This window comes from Homo sapiens, chromosome 11 (genome assembly GCF_000001405.40).
Source record: "Homo sapiens chromosome 11, GRCh38.p14 Primary Assembly".
Lineage (NCBI taxonomy): Eukaryota > Metazoa > Chordata > Mammalia > Primates > Hominidae > Homo > Homo sapiens.
This window is the reverse complement of record NC_000011.10, coordinates 33567505-33589796: the sequence shown is the minus strand read 5'-3', so window position 1 is coordinate 33589796 and position 22292 is coordinate 33567505. Positions and strand designations below refer to the sequence as shown.

The window sequence follows — 22292 nt, the reverse complement described above, 5'->3', positions numbered from 1 at the left end:
CCTCCTAATGCTATCCCTCCCACCTCCCCCACCCCACAACAGGCCCTGGTGTGTGATGTCTCCCTTCCTGTGTCCAAGTGTTCTCATTGTTCAATTCCCACCTATGAGTGAGAACATGCGGTGCTTGGTTTTTTGTCCTTGCGATAGTTTGCTGAGAATGATGGTTTCCAGCTTCATCCATGTCCCTACAAAGGACATGAACTCTTCATTTTTTATGGCTGCATAGTATTCCATGGTGTATATGTGCCCATTTTCTTATTCCAGTCTATCATTGTTGGACATTTGGGTTGGTTCCAAGTCTTTGCTATTGTGAATAGTGCCGCAATAAACATACGTATGCATGTGTCTTTATAGCAGCATCATTTATAATCCTTTGGGTATATACCCAGTAATGGGGATGGCTGGGTCAAATGGTATTTCTAGTTCTATATCCCTGAGGAATCGCCACACCGACTTCCACAATGGTTGAACTAGTTTACAGTCCCACCAACGGTGTAAAAGTGTTCCTATTTCTCCATATCCTCTCCAGCACCTGTTGTTTCCTGACTTTTTAATGATCGCCATTCTAACTGGTGTGAGATGATATCTCATTGTGGTTTTGATTTGCATTTCTCTGATGGCCAGTGATGATGAGCATTTTTTCATGTGTCTTTTGGCTGCATAAATGTCTTCTTTTGAGAAGTGTCTGTTCATATCCTTCGCCCACTTTTTGATAGGGTTGTTTTTTTCTTGTAAATTTCAGCAGCTAATTTAGCCAGAGATACAACAGGAAGGTTCCAGCGGATTTAACAATCCAGTCTAGAACTGTGGCCTAACCTGTCAAATCTCACCACTGTGTCTCAGAACAGGATGGAGTTTTATTGCTAACTCCAACATGGCTTTTTTATTTGAGGCTGTCTATAGCTTTGCCATGGACAGCTCCCCCAGTTCCCTGAGAAACTCACTCTGGGAAGTATAATCACCCCCTTCTCTTCTCTGAGACATACACTCTGACCTATGTGGTGATCAGTGACATTCTGAGGCCAGGACCTGGAACTGCGTTTCTGAAATAGGGTTTGCTGAGGGAAGGTGGTCTCTGTTCTTTTCCTTCCCTGTCCTTGGCCTATAAGAAACAGAAGCAAGCCTTCAGATAACTTGGTAATGTCTCTCAAATACTGAATTGCCTGCTCCTTCCATAATCAATTGGTCACCAATTAGATTCAACGTCTGAAATGTTTCTGGAAGCTGACTTTTCCTCCCCAGGTCCACTGTTTCACTATTTCCTGCCTCGGTCTCGTTGCTTCCAATTTAGCTCCTTTCCAGGCCTCCCCGATGAGCTTCCAAAATTATCTCCCTTAAAACACATGTGGTTGCGTCACTCTCATTTAAAATATGAAGGGCCTTGAATGTCTCCCCAAATGCTTTGGCAAGGCATTCAAAGCCCTTCACATGCCAGCTGAACCTGCCTGCCCAGTTTCATGTCCTGTTGACCCCTTTTGTACCACACCCTCACGCCCCCATTATCCTATTCAGTTTTGTTCCAACGATAGGGACTGTCCTTGGTGCTGAACATATAAAGTTAAATAACTGGTTCCTCACCCTCAAGCGGCTCAGTTTCAGCTTCATTTGATATTAATGGCACAGTACTAAAGACAGTATACAACTTATATCATTGCATCTTCACTATAGTTCAAGAAGGTAGGTATTATCATGAGTTCCCAGTTTACAGATGAAGCAACTGAGGTTCAGAGAGGTTAAGCAGCTTACGCAGGCTCACAGAGCTGTGATGGAGTCAGCATTTGAACCTAGGACTATGTGACACAGAGCTGGAACATCTAACCACGATTTGATGAGTCTTCCCACAGCCCTTCCTTTCCTTCTGCAGCTTCCTATCTTGGTTAGCATCTCCTGCCGTACATGGCCTGGCTCCTATGCAACACTCCTGGCCTGTCTGTGAGGAAGTGGGAGGCTCCAACAGCAGCTAAGACTTCCCAAGAACCTAATGATAGGGAAAGCTGGCTCTGGTCCCATCTCCCACTTTCTCTCTCCTCCCTCTGGATTTGGCCCCTTACCTTTCACACAGGGTTAAAGTTATCCACTGGATACTTCAGGTGATTGGGTCAATGATGGATATACACAAAGAGAGACATTAAGGAATTCCAAGCTTAAAAGGTTCCCATTGTTATTAGGTTAATTACACCTGTGTTGTTAATCACAACAATCCCTGTGTATGTTTGGTACTTACAGCATGCAAAACACTGTTATCTCATCTCATCCTCCAACAAACCTGTGAGGTAAGCAAGGCAAACATTACAGCCTTCATTTCACAGATAAGAAAACAAAAGCTCAGAGAGGTTCAGTGACTTGCCCAAGATCACACAGCTAAGTGGCGCAGGACTACTACTCCCTCACTCTTCTGACTCCCAGGGTAGCGGTCTTTTAGCTTTCAACTGGAAAATTACCTGAGATTAATCAACTGCCCATTAGACACATTAGTGACTCCTAACCCCAATAATAAAATATCATGAAGTAGCTATAGTTACTTCAATTCGTTTTATAAAATTATCAAATCAAAATAATCTCCAGTAATTTCAATGGCGGATACACTGCCAAGACCTTTTAAGAAAAAAAGCATGGGTAACAATAAAAGCCAACTTATAGGTAGTATTTATTATATACTAGACATATCTCAAAGTGATGTATATATATTAACTTAATCCTCACAACACTCTATACGATTATTGTTATATCTCCATTTTACAGATGGAAAAATTGAGGCACAGAGGTTAAGTAACTTTCCTATTGTTGTTCCAACGACAGGGACTGTCTTTGGTGCTGAACATATAAAGTTAAATAACTGGTTCCTCACCCTCAAGGGGCTCAGTTTCAGCCTCATTTGATATCAATGGCACAGTACTAAACACAGTACATAACTTTTCTCATTGCATCTTCACTATAGTTCAAGAAGGTAGGTATTATCATGAGTTCCCAGTTTACAGATAAAGCAACTGAGGTTTAGAGAGGTTAAGCAGCTTACCCAGGCTCACAGAGCTGGGTAAGTTATCCTATAGGTATCCTATAGATAGTATCCTACAGATAGTAGTGGGAAAGAGGAAACAGTTGGCTGTTCTTAGGGGGTGACTGGCCTGTCCCAAGCAGATGTTCATGCAAAAGATTACAGACCCTCCAAGCTCCATCCTGCATCTGGATATAGTCCTATCCACCCTCTTCTAAGGTGGCCTCTTCCAGGGAAACGTGATCTCTTCAATTCTATGAAGGGAAAAACTAGAAAAATGGCTGTACATCCAATGACAGAGTAAAGGGAAGTGAACTAGGAAGAAAGGAGGTGACAAAAGTCATGATGCTGGCCCTCTTGCATTTATCATTTTTCACCATTCTACCTGCAGAAGCCCACCTGATAACAATGGGAATGGGGTAGTCCATGGTACCTTGTCTCTGAAGAAGGGTAAGGGTATCCATACTCTGGTCTCGGCTCCCGGGAAAGCCACACTCACCTCCTCTGCTTAGCATGTTAAGTTTATTACTGAGTCTCAAGAAGGATCCCCGGGAGTGCCCTCTGGCACTGTAGCCTGAATTGTAAAGATGCAGCGATGTCCCCAGGACTGTCCTCCTAGTCTAAGGCTTGGCGGTGAAGGCTAACTTTTTTGTTCTGCCTCGTCCTTTGACAATAATTGAATTCTGTTCACACACACAAGGTGGTGAGAAGTGATGCAGGAAGCTCTCTCCTCTCTCCAACACTGCAGTGTCCCTGGGTTGTAACAGCAGAAGAACTGCAGTAAGCAGGAGGCAGTTCCACCCTGCTGGTTTCCCATGATAAAAGGGCTTTGGGAATCAAAATATGTAGCCCAGCCTCATGGAGGGGGAAAACAACCAGCTCCACCGCACACAAGTGAATTCAATCAACTCATGGAACATAAATTTGCTTGATGTTCAATGTCAGCCAGGTATCTCACAAAGCCCAATATACAGAGTAGGACGCAGAAGGAGCTATGGAAAACCACAAACGCTAATCTGTCCTAGCTTCAGACAGCCTTCCAGCCAGAAGCTATGTGGAAATCATGTGTTGCCCAACTCATTTTGGCAGATTAGTACAATTTTGGTTTAATCTATAACATAAATATGCCCCCTTACAATCTCAGTATGGCATGTTTTGTATTCCTGGATGTGGGTACAGTTAGATTCTGGTTATTACCATTATGTCTAAAAGGCTCATGTTGTAACTAAGCTGAGATGAAGATGAAATACACACTCTTTTTATTTTTTATTTTTTTATTTTTTGAGACGGAGTTTTGCTCTTGTTGCCCAGGCTAGAGTGCAACGGTGTGATCTTGGGTCACTGCAACCTCTGCCTCCCAGGTTCAAGCAATTCTCCTGCCTCAGCCTCCTGAGTAGCTTGGATTACAGGTGTGCGCCACCACACCCAGCTAATTTTGTATTTTTAGTAGAGATGAGGTTTCTCCATGTTGGTCAGGCTAGTCTCAAACTCCTGATCTCAGGTGATCCGCCCGCCTCGGCCTCCCAAAATGCTGGGATTACAGGCGTGAGCCACCGCGCCCGGCCAAAATGCACACTCTTGGAAGAGTTTCACCTTTCACTGCTTGGGCAATTCCCAATGTACACTTATTACCAACATCCTGCTGTGTCTGGGAAGCAGGTGCCTTTGTGTCAACTGAAACAGAACAACTCGCTTTGGCATTTGGCTCTTCAGTAGACAGTATCTAAACGAGCTGCAGCATCAAAACAGGTGTATCAGTTTAACAAACAATAAAAATCCTTTGATTTCTTTTGCTGAAGTGAGGTGTGATCATCAAGAAAGAACTAAGGCATGCGTGACCCCCGCAAGGACGATCTCCATGGCCGACATGCATTCCAATGGCTCTGGAATGTGAGGCGTTGCCTCACTATTTCATTCCTGCACTGGTAGACAAAGCTCAGATCTTCAGAGCTGGAAGAGGATTCTACCTGCCAAATCTCAGGGTTCAGGTAGGTGTATAATGGCGAAAATGCTCTAAGACTCAGATGTGAGCCTCAGTCACCCCTCTGCTGCTAGCATGACTTTGGACAAACCCCAAAGTCTCTCTTTCCCTTGAGTGTTTTGGCAGTAAAATGAGGATAATAAAACCTTCCCTGACTACGAGCTACCTCATAAGGCTGCTGTGATGAACAAACGAGGTGATAGTCCTCGAGGAGCCCAGCAAATTGTAAGGCATTATTTAAGCATCAGGTATGACAGTTAGTATATTTCCCTCATGGAATATCATGAAGGGAGCAAGGTGACCAGAAAATCATCCTGCAGCATGTCCTAGTCCATTTCTTTCCCAGTCACTGGAGGTGAGTGGTGCAGAGATGTGGAGGCCGCAGTGGGTGGATGGGGCCCCAGGACAGGCTTCAGTGGAGCCACTGAACGGGGGTTTTCTGGCCACCCAGCCAAAGCCCTGCAGCTTCTCCATCATGGTGGCCTCTGAAGATGTCACTCCAACCAAGCATGTGCTCCAGAGAGCCTTGCATTAGGAGCCAAGAGACTTTGTCTAAGTCAGTTCGGGCTGTTGTAACAAAATATCACAGACTGGGTGGCCTGTAAATGACAGAAGTTTATTTCTCACAACTCTGGAGGCTGAGAAGTCCAAGATCAAGGTGCCAGGATGGTCAGAGGTGAGGGACCTCTTCTGGGCTGCAGGCTGCCAATGTCTTGTGTCTTCACATGGAAGAGAGCTCTCTAGGGCCTCCTTTCTAAGGGCATTAATCTCATTCCTGGAGGTTTCACCCTCATGACCTAATCTCCTCCCAAAGGCCCTATCTCCTAATACCATCATATTGGGGGTCAGAATTTCAACATATAAATCTGTGGACCACAACGTTCAGAACATAGCAGACCTTATTCTACCATCAGTTCTGCTACTTACCAACCATATGACCTTGAAAGAGTTACTTTTCATGGGTGAAAGGAGGGAGTCTGATTACATTATCTCTAAAATCCCTTTCATGTCTCTTTAGCTTGTAGTTTTCTATGCCTCGGTTTCCTCATCTGTAAAATAATAGTACTTCCTCCAAGGGCAGCTGTGAGAATTAGAGAGCTGCTGTATATAAAACACTTGGAAGCACTGATGGCCGAATGGGCATCAGATAACCACAAACCATCAGGTCCTGAGACTAAAAGGAAGGATCTCCTTCAAAATGAGGACCTGCCCTGATGTTTCTGCAGGCTCTGGCAATGGCCTCAAAAGGCAAGAGGGAAAGGCAGGCTGAGCTCCTGCAGGCCTGTCCTCCTGCCCCTCTCCCCACCACTTCCATATACCTTTGCTCTCTGCGGCAGGTTTATCATGGTGTCAGGCTTGAAGTCGTTCTTGTTCTTCCTGCAGAGCACGGCAGTGATGATGATGATGATGACCGTGACCACGGCAATGGGCGCCAGCACTGCAGCGATGATCCACAGGTTATTGGGCGGGTTCTTCACCACGGCTGTGGGAAAGAGCCAGCAGGAGGGACATGACAAGCAACACTGGGAAGAGGAAAGCAACCCAGACATAACCCCCCACCCCAGTCCCAAGTCCTGGACAGAAGGACGTGGGAGGTTAAGAGGGTTTGGGGTTAGAAAGCCTCCACCTCCGCAGCTGTGTGACCTTGGGCAAGTGGCTTAAGCTCCCTGAGTCTCAGTTTCCTCATCTGTAAAATGGGCTGTCACTTTGTAGTGTTTTTGGTGTGGTCTCTAGTAGTTGCTCAGTAAATGCTAGAGTTCACTACTACTGAGAGGAAGAGGAGAAAAAGATGGATCAGTAACAATTTTCCCCAGGGGTGACATCCACAAGTCAAAAGAAAAGTGAAGCTGAGAAATGTGCAGATTAGAAATGTGTGCTGGAATCAAGAGGCAAAAGCCACAGAGAAATGACTCTCAATATTGTAGTGTAGTCACCCTGAGAGTGAGCAACGAGTAAAATGTAACATGAGCAGATGGATCTCCCCCAGAATAGCTGGCTGGGAGCTTGGAAATGCCTCGGTCTAGTCAAAAGACTCAGGCTGTTCTCAGAACCAGAGTAAAGAAGAGCAACCAAAGTGAGTGGCAGCAGGAAGAATGTGCTATTAAAACAGTAGGTGTCTCAGGGCAAGGGGGCTGGGATGAATTAACTGGAAAGGGCAACAGGGTGATGGTCATGCTCTGTAGTATGATAGAGAGTTGGGTTACATGGGTGTATACATTTGCCAAAGCTCATCCTATGATTTACTTGAGACAGGAAAAAGTATTGACAAGTTAAAAGGAGAAGTTCCTTCTCCATGGTAGGTTTGGTCTGTAGTTTAAATTAATATATTGGCAATCTAGTTTATACATCAAACTCTTGTAAGCCTGGTTAGCATGAGTTGGTCCTCCTGATCCTGCTGAACTTGGGGGCTACTAGGCAAAACTGAGGCCCAGACCCTAGAATATGAACATTCCACCAGTAAGTGCCACGTGGTGAGACCTGCCTGAGGAGCCAGCCAGTCTTCCTCTCTGATTTCAACCAAGCCCTGACATCAAGTGGTTCCTCATTAGCCAAGATCTACCTCTCATTTGGCTGCCCTTAGGCTCAGAATACTATTAGTACAGAAGAGCTTCTTCTCCACAGTTTTTATCAATCGGTGATTAATCACATTATTAACTTCTGAAAACAGCTCATTAGATAATATGTTTCTGTTGACATTAAACACTTAATTGCTCCTGCTTTTAGTAATTCAGTATTTATATGTGAGTATTCTGTCATTAACATAGAGCTTATAGCTTCTGTGAAAAATATCTGTATGCCTCTTTATCATTATTTTATCCTGATGGAGAAAAATGTACAGTATATCAGTGTATACCCTAAATAAATACATGCTTTTTTTTATTAGCAAGAATGTTCAGCTTTTACCCAGTTTTATTGTTTTAGTGGAGGTGCTTCTTCTTGGTGCAGTATGTAAAATCCCCTCACCTTCATTTACATAAACAGAACAGATTTTATCTTGGACACATTAATAAATTCATTTAACAGTCAAAACAAGAGTAAAGTTAGGTCAACTGAAGTCATCCAAACTCAATGTTGTGTTCATTGGCGTAATTACCTAAAAGTACAAAGTCATGCCTAAAGGTGAAAAGGAATGAAGGGTTATTTAAATTGCAAGAATTTCAGTAGAGGACTGATAGGAAAACCCATTTCCCGAGTGCCTACTGTGTGTTAGGCGCTGTGATAGGTCCTTAGCCTGCATGCTTTTCTCATCCCCAATATGCTGATGAGGAAACTGAGACCCAGAGAGGTCAAACGTTTCTATGAAAAGTCACTTCTCTGAAATAAACAGTTAAAGTCGGTTCCGAGTTAACACACATGAATAGAAGTGTGTGCTTATGTGCAAGCGTAAACACACACACACACACACACACACACACACACACAATTTGTCAGAAGGAATGAAGTCAAACAGTCCAAATAATCTAATACAAAATAAATTATTCTCACGTACAGCAAATGTTGAAAGGAGAAGGCATCCATTCAAGTGTTTCCAGTTTGTTTTTGTGGCCGTCACCTATGTCTCAAATATTAGAGCTCATAACTGGGGTGACTGGATGCAGGGGAGAGTCCTCCCAGGGTCCAGTGGATGGCTAGTGCTCAGTCCACGTGGTTCTCCCACCAAACCCTCCTGTGGCTTCTCTTCCCAGTGGGGTCCCAGCCCGTGAGGCCCTAGTGACCATGGCCGCTCTTCTGTGCCTCTGACCTCACAGCTACGACTCTGCTCCCTCAATGACCTCGATGCTAGGTGTCAGACTGTCTTCTCCCTGCCTGGAACCTGGCCCCCAGATATCCTCAGGGACCCTTGCCTCCCTCCCTTTCTTCAGGTGGTCACTCAAGGGTTACTTCCTCAGTGATTCTCTTCTTGACCCCCCAACAATTTAAAATTGCAACCACTATCTTCTCAACATGCCCTAGCCCTTCCCTGCCCAATTTTCTCCATAGCACTAATTAGCGTCAAACATGTTACTTATTTATTTAGTTTCTTTGATCTGCCCACCCTAGAACATAAGCTCCATGAGGGCAGGGATTTTTGTCCACTTCATTCACTGCTCTATCTCCAGTGCCCAGAGCAGTGCCCTGCACATAGTAGGTGCTCAATAAATATCTGTTAAAAAAGTGAATGAGCATGAGTCCTCTTTACCAGAGGGTCAGCCTATTTCTTTAAGTGGCTTTTTTTTTCTTTTCTTTTCTTTTTTTTTTTTTTTTTTTTGAGGCAGAATCTCACTGTGTCCCCCAGCCTGGAGTAATGGCACGATCTCGGCTCACTGCAACCTCTGCTTCCCAGTTTCAAGCCATTCTTGTGCATCAGCCTCCCAAGTAGCTGGGATTACACGCACCCACCACCATGCCCAGCTAATTTTTTTATTTTTAGTAGAGACGGGGTTTCTCCGTGTTAGCCAGGCTGGTCTCAAACTCCTGACCTCAGGTGATCCACCCACCTCAGCCTCCCAAAGTGCTGGGATTATAGGTGTGAGCCACTGCGCCCAGCCAAGTGGCATCTTTTCAGATAAATGTCTGGTGGCCATGTAAAGCAAACCACTTCCTGCTCTGGTATGCTTCTCCTTGGGGTGAATTTTCCCTATTCCATCAGCTGGATAACAACTCTGAAGTGCCTCTCACTCCAGACCCTGCAAATGGACCAGATGCAAACCTCTAGCTGCCTAAGTCAAATGCTGCCTTGTCACCCAGAGGTGATGGGGTGAGTCACGTGGGCACTGCATGCTCCAGTCTTGGCCCTAGAATTAGTGATTTAGAAGGCTCTGGAACACACAGAATGCAGAAACTCTCCCTTCAGAGAGACAAAGTATTCAACACTGTGACTCTCTATTCAAAGTCCTGACCTCAGATGAACATTGTAGGCTGATCTTGAAACTACTGGGAGAAAATGGGATTTTAAAGATCTCTGCCCTCTTCTCCTTCATTGGCCTTATCTTCGTCCTCATCAGCTCCTGGGGTGGACATATTTCCCAGAGGACATCCTCTTGCTTTCCTCTTCCATCCACTAGCTACGTTCCTTCACCAGGCACTCATATTTTCCCCAGGATTTTAATTCTAATCTCTATCTACAGAATCCTCAAGTCTATAGCGTTACCTTGATTCTCTCTCCAGAGTTCTAGGCTTGAATTCCCAACACCTTTCTTAACCTTCCTAGGATATCCTATCACACCCTTGATATCCCATCAGTGTCCCCAGTCCTGGGGCACCTGTTAAGCACATAGTAAGTGGGAGCTGAATCTCCTTTATCCGTGAGGCCAGAGGACTACAGGAGAGAAATGAAGAAGAAAGGAGATTTGAAGGTTGAGAAGAACCCATATAATACAGAGAAGAGGGTGCAACTAATGAAGATGGAAAGGGGACTGGAGAGGAGAGGCATTGTTAGAAGGCAGAAGGTAATTTATTGTTTGAGCTGTGTGGAGTTTAAGGGGATGATGACACATATCACAGGGATGCCCGTGGGATATTGTCGGGTGTTGCTGGAATACCGACGGAGAGATTCAGCTGCCACTTACTATGTGCTTAACAGGTGCCCCAGGACTGCACCAAGCCCTTTACAGGCAACAATTATCTCTTTTAATCTCCTATGTAGCTCTCTTAGGGAGGTGTTTTTATACTACCATTTTACAGGTGGGGAAAATGAAGGTCAGAGAGGCTAATTAACTTGACTCCAAGCTCCATAACTAGAAAGTGGAAGAGCAGGGGCTGGGCCTGGGTTACCTTATTTCAAAGGCTCTTCTCTCAAGTGCTATGGTGTCTCCTAACCACATGCCTCTCTCGGCACCTAGCAGAGGCATCTGGTGAAGGGTGGTTCCTTTGCCTTCACAAGAATAGAACCAGGAAGGAACTGGAGCTAGATCTTCCAAGATGAATGAGATGCGGCACTTGCTTTTAAAGAGCTCATGAGGGAGAGAGACAGACAACAACTGTTATGGCCCAATGTGAGGAGGGCAATGGGAGCTCCTGGAACCAAGGGAGACAGAGGGCTGTGCCTCAGGCGCCAAGGAAGGCTTCAAGGAAGAGGGAACATGCAGGATGAAAACCCCTATGTGGCTTTAGATATGAAGGAGAGAAACGCAGGCCACACGGCTGGAAAAGCAGCCTGAGACCAAGCTGTGCAGTCCTGAAGGCTTGCTGGGTGCACCTGCTGTGAAGACAGGAGTTTGGATTTTATTCTGTGAATGATGGGAGCCAGCAAGTATTTTTCTAAAATGGAGTCAATGTAAGATCAGAATCTACGTTTTATTACAATGACTCTAATTACAATGTAGAAGGCACATTAACGGGAGGTTGAGTCACTTTGGAAGCTACTGCCATGGTCCAAGTGGGAGAGAATGATGGGATGGACAAAAGGAAATGGATTTGTGAGTGACTGTGGAAGGGAACTGAGAGGACTGAGTGGATTTGAAGGAGACAAAGGAGTGAGGCTGGAAGGGTCAGAGGGTGGCAGCCTTGGAGCCTGGCCAAACAGAGTTTGAATCTCGACTCTCTTGAGTGACAGCTGAGCCTCCGGGGCCATCCCTCACCTCCCAGACTCTCACTCCGAAAAGCCTCCATGAGTCTAACCTGATAGGATCTCTCTCTCCTGTCCTAGCCCCTGACCCCGTCCACTGCTCCCATCAACTGCCACCAGCAAAGTCCCTTAGCCTCACCCGGTCCTCCTGACACTCCATTCACAGCTGCTCACCATGAAGCCAGCTCTCCTTTTCATGCCCGTCCCAAGTACCTCAAGGCCTGGGGTGGCCTTGAGGAGTGAAGGAAGCGAGTCTTGGCTAAAAATGTCATTTTGAGAATAAGACTATAGACAGTGACCATCATAGAACTGTCATGGAACTGACAGGCCAAAGTGGCAGATGGCCGGAACAGAAGTGTTAGAGAGGAAGAGACACTGAGCCAGGTGCATAAATCTCCAGTGAGTGATGGGGGCCTCTTGGGGCCCTGAGGTGACTGCAGCGAGGAAGGGGAGCTTCAAAGGACCTGGGATTGAAAAAGAGAAGAAGTGGTGTGGACACAGCCATGAGGATTAAGGAGAAGCGGAGCCCTGTCAATCTTCCGGCACTTTTTGGGCAGTTTGCTCTGCCATTCTCCGTGTGTATTACCACACACCCCAGCTGAAATCCACCCCACACACCTCGATTTCAGCTGCCGACTTCATTTCATTATACCCAAGAGAGCAGAAACAATCGGAGACAGCGTCCGCAAGCTTCCATCACCAAGTGTCCCCCGTACTCCACTTTCTCCTCATTAGAAAGGACCAGCTGTCCCTGCGGACCCCTTCACCCGTGCACCAGATCCCATTGCCTCATTCATTGACAGATTTTGCACCTACAATTCCTGCCTCTCTCTTCTGCATTGTCAGCTTCTCCCTCTCCATGACAGCATCCTCTCAATATTCAAACACACACCAATTCAAGCTTTCTAGCTTTTGTTTGGGTTCTCAATGCCTGGAATGCCATACAGCCCCTCCAGCAACTGCCTCAGAAGATTTCCTCTCTTTTGCTGTCACTGCTTCCCCACACCTTGTTCTTCTTCTCAGCCCATTTGGTTGCAAAACCACTCCTGCTAAGGTCACAACCTCCAATCCCCTTAATCTCTACCCTGTCATGCCCTGCCTCTTGGGAATATAAATCGACACGCAGTTCTCTCCCTCCCGTGAGATCTGCTGTCCTTGCTTGCATTCTGAACCCCACACTCTCCTCCCATCTCCCTGGCTGCTCCTGGTCAGTGTCCTCTACTCACTCTCACTCTTCCCATATGTGGATTCCCCAGGGCTCAGTTTCCCTTTTCTCTCTAGCTAAACCCACCTGGTTATTCTCACCTATTCCCTTAGCTCTAAATGTCACCTATATGTTGATGATTCCTGAGTTTATGTCTTCTGAGATCCACGTGGATGTCTAGTAGACATCTCACACCTAACACGTCTACAACCAAACTCCCAGTTCCATCTCCCCTGTTCCCATCCCAACCCCACTTATCCTCTTTGACCTGCACCTTCTGCATCTCAACAAATGGCACCACAACCAATGCTCAAGCCAGCACCTAGGAGTCATCCTTGATTCCTCTGAGCCCCGCTTCCTTCCCTGGCTACACACAGAATCATTATCTTGCGCCGTTGACTCTGTGCCCTGAAATATCCCAAATCTGTTCACTTCTCTGAATGTCCACTTTTAGTACCTTCAGCTCTCGCCTGGACACCTGCAGTGGTTTTCACTCCTGTCCTCTATGATTTATTCCTCACCTGGAGAGAGGGAGAAAGAGCTGAGAACAGAAAACTCTGGAGTCCACATAAAGAGGATGCGGCAAAACAGATGAAGCAAGCTGTTGAGCAGATGAGGACGGAGCCCACAGGGAGGGAAGGGGAGAGGTGCAAAGGAAAAGAATCTTGGTTAAAATTGTCACTTTGAAAAACAAGATTGCAGAGAGTGACCATCGTCATTCCTAGACAAAGTTGTGTCTGTGAGGATATGCCGGCCGAGCAAGACAATACAAGGTCAGGACCATCATCCTGGAAGCAAAAGTCAACTGGATAAAGACAAGAGCTGAGCAGGAGAGGAAGACCATGAGCCAGGTGTCAGGGACTTAGGCAACACGGACATGAGCTAGGAAAGCAAACCCATAGGAGATGACCTTTCCTGCCTTCCATGCTCAGTATGCTGCCAAATACTAAAATTTCTACCACCTAATCTCTCACCTTCATACCCTTTCCCCTTCCCCCACTCTCTTTATAGCTTTTGTTTGGGTTCCCAATGCCTGGGACGCCACAGAGCCTCCTCACCAGTCCTGCCACTTCCTGTCTGCTCCCATCCTAGACACTGCTGACCAATTAAGCTTCCTAAAAATGGGCAGTTCCAATGATATTACTCCTTAGCTCAGAAATCTTCATCAGCACCCCACAGCTGATCAGAGTGTGTACTATCTCCTTCCCTGTCATTCAAGGCCTTAGTCTCCGGATCAATACACCTTTCCAATTCCCTTAACTCTTCCATGGGTGTCAGCACCCCAGGCAATCTGAACTCATTTTTCAAGCACACTTGGTACTTTTCACCTCCATTCTTTCGCTCATGCTGCCCTCTCTTTCTGGAATACACACACCTTCTTCTCCCTCTGCTGAAATCTTCACGTGTCATATAGTTAAGAACACAGGTTCAAAGTCAGACAGATCTAGATTAATATCCGGGCCACCTAAGCACTTGTTCTGTGATGCCGAGCAGGTTATTTCATTTTTCTGAGCCTCAGTTTCCTTTCCTGTGGTTTAGATCTGAGTAAACACTGCCCCAATGAGAACAGAAAGTGAGAAAATCTAGGTGAAGTAACTCGCATAGCAGCTGCCACAAGGGAGGGTATTCAAAGAGACAGCTATTATTTTTAACATCCTTCCTCTGCTCACTCTTTCCAGATGCCCCTTCGAAGCAAACCCTCCCTCTGCTGACCCCCTAACACACACTGCCTTTTACAGCACTTTCCTATGTTGTGTGCCACTGCACCTGCATTAAGTCTCCCTGCTCCTTAAGGGCAGGAGCCAGGTCTCGCCCACTTCCATACATCCTCCAGCACTAAGCGACTTCATGTAGAACTTTACAAATGTTTGTTGAATCAGATTATCTTTAATTCCCCTGGCATACAAAAATAATCTCAGCTATAGTGATTTTCATAGCTGTTCACTAGATTATGCTGAGGAAGAAGGGTGGGTAGGACTTGGGGGCAAAGTAATATCATTACCATCCTTCCAGTATCTAAAACATATCCCTTATTGCTTGAAACAACACAGAAACATAGCTGATTGATTTAAGAACCTTCCAGAATACAAATATGTTTAGCTCTGAGACCATTAACATGATTTTGGGGAATCATTTTGATTTTCAGGAAACATTTAATGGCATTAAAAAGACTGAATAAAAAGACCATTCCCTTACGGTCAGCTTGCAGAAGGACAACGTGATGAAGGGTCAAGGCCATCCTTTGGGAATCAATGGTGCTCAGGATCTTGGCAGCTGCGGTCCCCAACAAAGGCTTCCCGTTGTACAGGGTATAGTAAGTCAGCTCCGCTGGGTCCTTCGGGCCTGGGACACGCTGCATCTTCACCATCTTTCGGAAAAAGAGAGGCCGAGTGTTTGCAGGGCATTTTGCATGGACCCTGCAATCACCCAGGTGATCAGCAGATGTTCCTCTCCTGACTGCTGAAGACTTCTGTGGCTAGACGCCAACCTTCACATACCTCCCTATATCCAGCCTCTCAAGAAGCCTGCTCTCGCTGGAGCAGGAGACTGGGAGGAGAAAAAAGGTTTGAAAAATACGAACATCTGGAAAGAACAGTTTGTGGTTGGAGAAGAAAACACAGGATAGTGATGTCTCCCAGCATCCACAGAACTCTGGCCTCATTTGAAAATAGGCCTCTGCATTTAATTCAGGGCATGTTAGGTTATTCTCAAACACGACTGTTAAATTCAAATGTCTGTAATTGCCAGAAAGGGAGAAAAATTAACTTATATGTCTGCAATTCAAAAGATCTCTGATAAAAACACTACTTGGAAACCCAATGTTCTTTTTCTAAAATAACGGTTTTGCTTTTTTTTTTTTTTTACCTAAAAGTTATACATATTCACTATAGGAAAATTTGAAAATATGGAAAAACATCAAGAAATAAAATAAAAACAATCTGTAATCCTTCTATCACAAGCTAATTACTGTTGCCATTATAGAGTATTTGCTTCCATTCTTCGTTTTTGCCCACACAACCCTTTTCCTTATTAGTTTACAAAATTATTTGTCATAGTCTATATACAATATTTTGCAATTTTTACTTGCATCTTTAAAGGACCTTAAATATAACAAAAGCATAAACGTTTATTTTTACATGGCATTCTGATGCATACCTCATAAACTTATTTAAACAATCCTTTATTAAGCATTTAGACTGTTACTAATTTTTTACTACTGTAATTAACAATTGATAATCATAAATACTAAAACTTAAGTTTTAATACCTACATAGTGTTCTACAGTACGCATGCCTGGTAAATCAAACTAACCCTTGATTATCGAACATTGGTTATCAACTTTTTGCAGTTATAATGGACAAATCATAAATAGTATATAGTATTTTCCAAAGTTTATATTACAGATTATGAGTTTCACAGGATATTAAAAGACTTTACAAAAATGTTTATAGCAACATTGTTTATAACAGTAAAAAGACTAAAAATTCAAAAGTTGTTAATAATTGGTTGGATAATGAGCTACTGTATACTCACATGATGACATACTATAGTGTAGTGGTGAAAATGAATAAACTATGGCTATTTGTATCATTATGGATGAATACAAAAGCCTGATGTTGAGCAAAAGGAACAAATCACAAAATATAAAGTTAAAAGTTAAGCAAAACTACATAATATACTATTTAGAGATACAGGCGTGGATGGTAAAATCTATACAAAAAATATGGGAATGATTTAATACAAAATTCAGATTCACTCTAAACTCTGAAGAGGGAAGAAGGGAGTACAATCAGAGAAGACATATAAAAGGCTATTGGGATAAGGTAAGGGTAATGTTCTTACCCTTCAGGTTGTGGATTCTTTTTATTAGTGTCCTTTAAATTCTGCATCTTTCTTATACTGTTTTGTGTATATGCTATACATAACAATTAAAAAAGATATTATTACAACCCAATAGAAAATGGGCAAAAGAGCTGATCAGACACTTCACAAAGGAAGATGTCTGAATAACCAATTAGCACATAAAAATGCTCAATGGGGAAATTCAAATTGAAACCACAAGAGACCACTCTATACCCACCAGCACGGCTAAAGTAAGAACTGACAACACCAAGTGTTGATGAGGAAGTGAAGCAACTGGAACACCTGTCTGTTTGGTGGGAGTGCAAATGGTGCAACCACTTTGAAGAAAGGTCTGGCAGTTTCCTATAGAATTAATGTACACCAACCCTAAGAACCAGCAATTCCAGCCTATATAACTAAGATGAGTGAAAGCCATGTGGTCACCAAAGGACTTGTGGAAGAATGTTCACAGCAGCCTTGCTTAATAGCTACAAACTGGAAAAGCCCAGGTGTATACCAACAGAAGAATGGATAAACAAACTGTAGTATATTCATATAAGAGAATATTATTCAGCAAAAAAATTGAATAAACTACTGAATAACACAACAACATGGATGAATGTCAAAACAATACACTGTGTCAAAAAAGCTTTATACAAAAGAGTATGTACTGTAGGATTCGATTTATATGAAATGCTAGAATGTCAAAATCAATCTATGATTTAGAAGTATATGAAAATATATGTTAAGAAAACCTTATGGAAGTGTTTGGAAATGATATATGTAATCAAATATAAAATAGTAACAGTATAATGTCAATTGTAGAACCTAGATAGTGATATGGGTGTTGACTATAATTTTATCAACTTTTCTACAAGTTTGAAAATGTTGGCCAGGCACAGTGGCTCATGTCTGTAATCCCAGCACTTTCAGAGGCCAAGGTGGGTAGATCACTTGAAGTCAGGAGTTCGAGACCACCCTGACTAACATAGCAAAACCCCATCTCTACTAAAAATACAAAAATTAGCTGGGCGTGGTGGCACACACCTGTACTCCCAGCTACTCAGGAGGCTGAGGCAGGAGAATCGCTTGAACCTGGGAGGCGGAGGTTGCAGTGAGCTGAGCTCACACCACTGCACTCCAGCCTGGGCGACAGAGCGAGACTTTATCTCAAAAAAAAAAAAAAAGTTCATAATAAAATGTTGGGACTATATAGATATTACTTAAAAACAAGGGCTTTTTGACGTTTAAACTTGGAAACCAGCATGTTGAAGAAAATTAAGGAGATGTCTTTACTTCAGGTCTTTTCAGAGCTTTGGTATGCAAATAGGCTTTGGGACTCTTCAAGAAGGGGCTTTAGGATGCAGCCTTGCCCAAACCGATTTGGCCAGAGAGCCCCTTTTCAAAAGAACACTTGATAAGATCATGATATAGTATGAATACATGTCCTCTCCAAATCTCATGTTGAATTGTGTAATCCCAGTGTTGGAGGTGGGTCCCGGTGGGAGGTATTTGGGTCATGGAGGCAGCTCCCTCATGGCTTGGTGCTGTCCTCGCAGTAGTGAATGAGTTCTTGTGAGATCTGGTTGTTTAATGTGCGTGGAGCCTCCCCCCACCCTCTTTCTTGCTTCTACTCCTGCCATGTGAGACCTGCTCCGCCTTCATCTTCTGCCATGCTTGAAGCTTCCTTAGGCCTTTCCAGAAGCAGATGCTAACACTATGCTTCCTGTACAGCCTGCAGAACCATGAGCCAGTTAAACCTCTTTTCTTATAAAGTACTCAGTCTCAGATATTTCTTTATAGCAATGCAAGAACGGCCTAATCACTTTCTAGACACTCTCCGGAAAACACTATCCTCACTCTTTTGTCTTTGTGTTCACCTGTGTGTCCTTGTCCTCAAGATGAATTTCTTTTCTTTTCTCTTTTGAGACAGTCTTGCTCTGTCACCACAGAGTCTCGCTCTGTCACCAGGCTGCAGTGCAGGGGTGCAATCTCAGCTAACTGCAACCTCCACCTCCTGGGTTCAAGCAATTCTCCTGCTTCAGCCTCCCGAGTAGCTGGGAGTACAAGTGTGCACCACCATGCCCAGCTAATTTTTGTATTTTTAGTAGAGACGGAGTTTCACCATGTTAGCCAGAATGGTCTCCATCTCTTGACCTTGTGATCCACCTGCCTTGGCCTCCCAAAGTGCTGGGATTACAGGCGTGAGCCACTGTGCCTGGTCGAGATGAATTTCTAGGAGTCAGTTTGTGATCATCTAAGAGTTTCTTGTCTAAATTCCTCCAGAAAAATCATACCCAGTTGCTCTGTTTGAAAGTGCCCTTTTCGCTCCACACTCATCAATACTGGATCTTAGTATTTTACTAATCTTTGGTAGGTGAAAATGGCATCTTGTGGTAGTTAAAACTTGCCTTACTTCGATTACAAATTAAGTCAAATATTTAAAAATTTTTAGTGGTCACATGTTTTCTCTTAGGCCTCAATTTTTCAAATATGTCAACTTAAGAAATATCTTTAGATTCTAGACAGTTAAATCTCCATATTCATGAAGGTAGCTCATCTTTTAAAATGATCTAAGCCTAGAAGAAAGGCCTCAGGGTAGAAGGATATTGTAACCCACGTAGAGTGAATTTTTTGGGGGAAACTGGGGCATGTTATTCCTTTCCCTAGTGGGAAAGGAGGTGGGGAAAGTGTTAGTAGAATCTGGTAGAAGTTGAATGACCATTCAAATATCTAATAGTTTCTCTCAGTTTCAACTTAATAGCAAATTCCTCCTGCCAAGATTTCCTTAAGGGTATGTTACAAGGTGATCTACACCCTCTGTAAATCAGGGATTTGCAGAAATAAACCCCCACCCGCTTCCCTCAGACTTTCCAGGCAGCTAAAGGGGCCAAGTGCACTGAGCTCTTAGAAGAAATGAGAGAAGGCTGGACGTGGTGGCTCACACCTGTAATCCCAGCACTTTGGGAGGCTGAGGTGGGTGGATCATGAGGTCAGGAGTTTGAGACCAGCCTGAACAACATGGTGAAATCCCAACTCTACTAAAAATACAAAAACTAGCTAGGCATGGCAGTGCGCACCTGTAATCCCAGCTATTCGGGAGGCTGAGGCAGGAGAATCGCTTGGACCCGGGAGGCGGAGGTTGCAGTGTGCCAATATTGTGCCACTGCACTCCAGCCTGGATGACAGAGTGAGACTCCGTCTCAAAAAAAAAAAAAAAGAGAGAGAGAGAGAGAGAAAGAACACCTCTCTGGGCCCTTTGGCATGCAAAATGTGTTAGGTTTCTTAGGTTTACAAATAACACCAGGGTTGTAGGGTGGCCCCTTCTCCCCCTTTGGCTGATGCAAATCCCAGTTCCATTATCTGAGCACCAGTGACTTTCTTCCTGTCATTTGGAAAAGTGGAAATTATAGAGCTCACATGGAACCTACAAAGGAGAAATCACAAACCTGACACGCAAGCTTAACCACCGCTTTACCTCGTGGTAAGGTCATCTCAGACCACAGAGACTTTTAGAACCAAAGCAACATCCAATAGGACAAACGGCCAAATTCACCAACTGCGAATGGAGGGACCTGGAGTCTCCATCAGGGGCATGATGATGACTCATGCGGGGAAGTGTGTTCATTAAGATGGGTTGTCTATACTTTCAAGATTGCCTGGAGACAGGATTTGCACACAGACTATGCTAATGGCTGCAATTTCCCTTAAAATGCTTACTCTTAGACAGTGTGATACTATGCATGTGTGCTATGGTTCAGTTACACCCGAGATGTGGTCAATCATCAATCAGGGGTTCACATGCCAGGGGTAGTCTGCTCAATTCCAGGTAGGAAGTCCCCACTCCAGAGGCAGCTACCAGGAGTGCTTCTCTAATTTGACATCATGCTCAACAGAGCTTTGTTAATTAGCACAACAAATGTTAGACATGAGTTCTCAGTGGTGACAGTGCAATTCAAGATAAGCAGACCTGGCTAGAATACACCAGAGAGGCTCCCATTCTTGCAGGAACTGGCTAAAGTTTCTAGAAAGGTTTAGAATCTCTACTCCTGGGGATGGCTACTGCCTTGATTGGGTGCCCTCAGAAGTAGACCCTGAGAAGAGCTGAGCGCTTCTAGTTTATCTGAGAGGTGCAACGAACTGGCAGGAGGGTGAGGAGGTAATACAAGAATGGGAAGGAGCCTACAAGGGATGCGTTATTAAGCCAGTTACTGCAGTCAATGACTAAAGCTTAATTCTGTGGGAAAGCTCTGAAAATGATCTAAAACATACATTTCAGAATTCTCCCAGCCAAGAGAACCAGGGTATTTATAATACTGGTAATTCTCAGGCACTTCCAACCAGCATGGCATGGGCAAAGCAGGTTTTGACATCTCAAAAGTAAGCCCTCTGAAAAAGATTCAGAGGCTGGCTGTTGGAACTCCAACTGGAATGCACAAAAATGGTAAGGGGATGTGGGCTGGATACAGCTAGTGTCTGCTACATTCCTCCAGCCTAAATCTCTACGTGGCCAGGTGTCCACTATAAGCTTGGAGGGTTCTGTTTGTTGAAACTGACTACATACAGGTAACAGAATCCTGTCTCTGGAATAATGGTGCATCTGCTATTCAGAGGAATGGAGGTGAGAGGGTCTAAAAGGACAGAGAGCTGGGACTTCATTGAGCTTACTGAACAAGCTGATGATGAGTCTGTCCTTGCTTACCAAGAATTTTTTGTTTCAAAAATATCTGCATGAGTACAGATTTTGTACCGAGACTTCCTTGTGTTATAACCTAGTTAGTGACAATGTCGGAAGAGCAGCAAACTCTCACCCTCCTTCATGTTTTTGATGGTTATGACCGTCAGTTCCCAAAACCTAAGAGCAGCCTTGATAAAATGGCTTAGTCAGTTGGCAGCATGGAGGCTCCTCTGAGCACACTGACTTATTTAGTCTCAGGAAGCACATCCCCCCCTCTACCCCCAGTTATTAGAAAACCCCAGTGGCTCTGTATACACCTACCTGCACAGTGTAGCTTCCCAGGGTGGTGGCCCGTTTAAACCGCCGGCCTTGTTGCTGGGACATCATGAATAGCTGGGCCAGGCGCTGCTCCATGACCCGGGCAAAGCTCTGGTTGTGCAGGCCCACCAGCGAATTGTCCACACCCTGCAGCACTGTGGATGCAGAAGGCAGAGCAGAGGCTCAGAAGGCAGACTTTCTGCTGATTCAGTAAGCACAAGCACCACTGACCCTGCACAGGCCACCAAGGGCCACTGTGTCCTACCTCATGTTAGGGCTTGGCCAACCTTACCTCACTTCACCTTCGCGACAGCCCTATGACAATCATTATCCACATGTTATAGATGCTGAAAAGATTAAGTGACTTGTCTGAGGTCACGCAGCTAGCAACCAGCAGAGTCAGGGTCCAAACCCAAGCCAGACTGTGTAACTCCAGAGCCTGGGCTCTTTGCTCTGTGAACTGTGACACTGCGAATGCTGCCGTATTTAACTCAGACTTCACCTAAGATGATGATCTGTGTTGCTAAAAGTCCACATGGGAACACAGCACAGCTGTAGGTATGGCTAACGGGTATTTTTGCTGGTTTCCACTCAAGGTCTGGCTCAGGGCTATTCCTATTTTATTTTGCCTTGTCCCAGCTTGAGCTCCATCCTGCAACTCAATCCCTTATATCTGGGCAGACTACCCTGTTCAGTGTCCTCATCTCTTCCTCCTCTGTGGAGTCC

The 22292-nt window shown here is 44.5% G+C and overlaps 1 protein-coding gene across 9 annotated transcripts in view; it reads right to left on the bottom strand.

Annotated features, from left to right (window-relative positions):
- KIAA1549L (KIAA1549 like) overlaps nt 1–22292 on the bottom strand; it is a 297995-nt gene that overhangs the window by 84306 nt on the left and 191397 nt on the right. For all 9 annotated transcript variants that reach the window (XM_047426719.1, XM_005252848.4, NM_012194.3 and 6 more), the window contains 3 exons: nt 21570–21721; nt 14924–15095; nt 6296–6459 (listed from right to left, as the gene is read on the bottom strand). In XM_047426719.1, coding sequence (XP_047282675.1) covers nt 6296–6459; nt 14924–15095; nt 21570–21721 — 488 coding nt within the window. The remainder of the gene's footprint in view (nt 1–6295; nt 6460–14923; nt 15096–21569; nt 21722–22292) is intronic.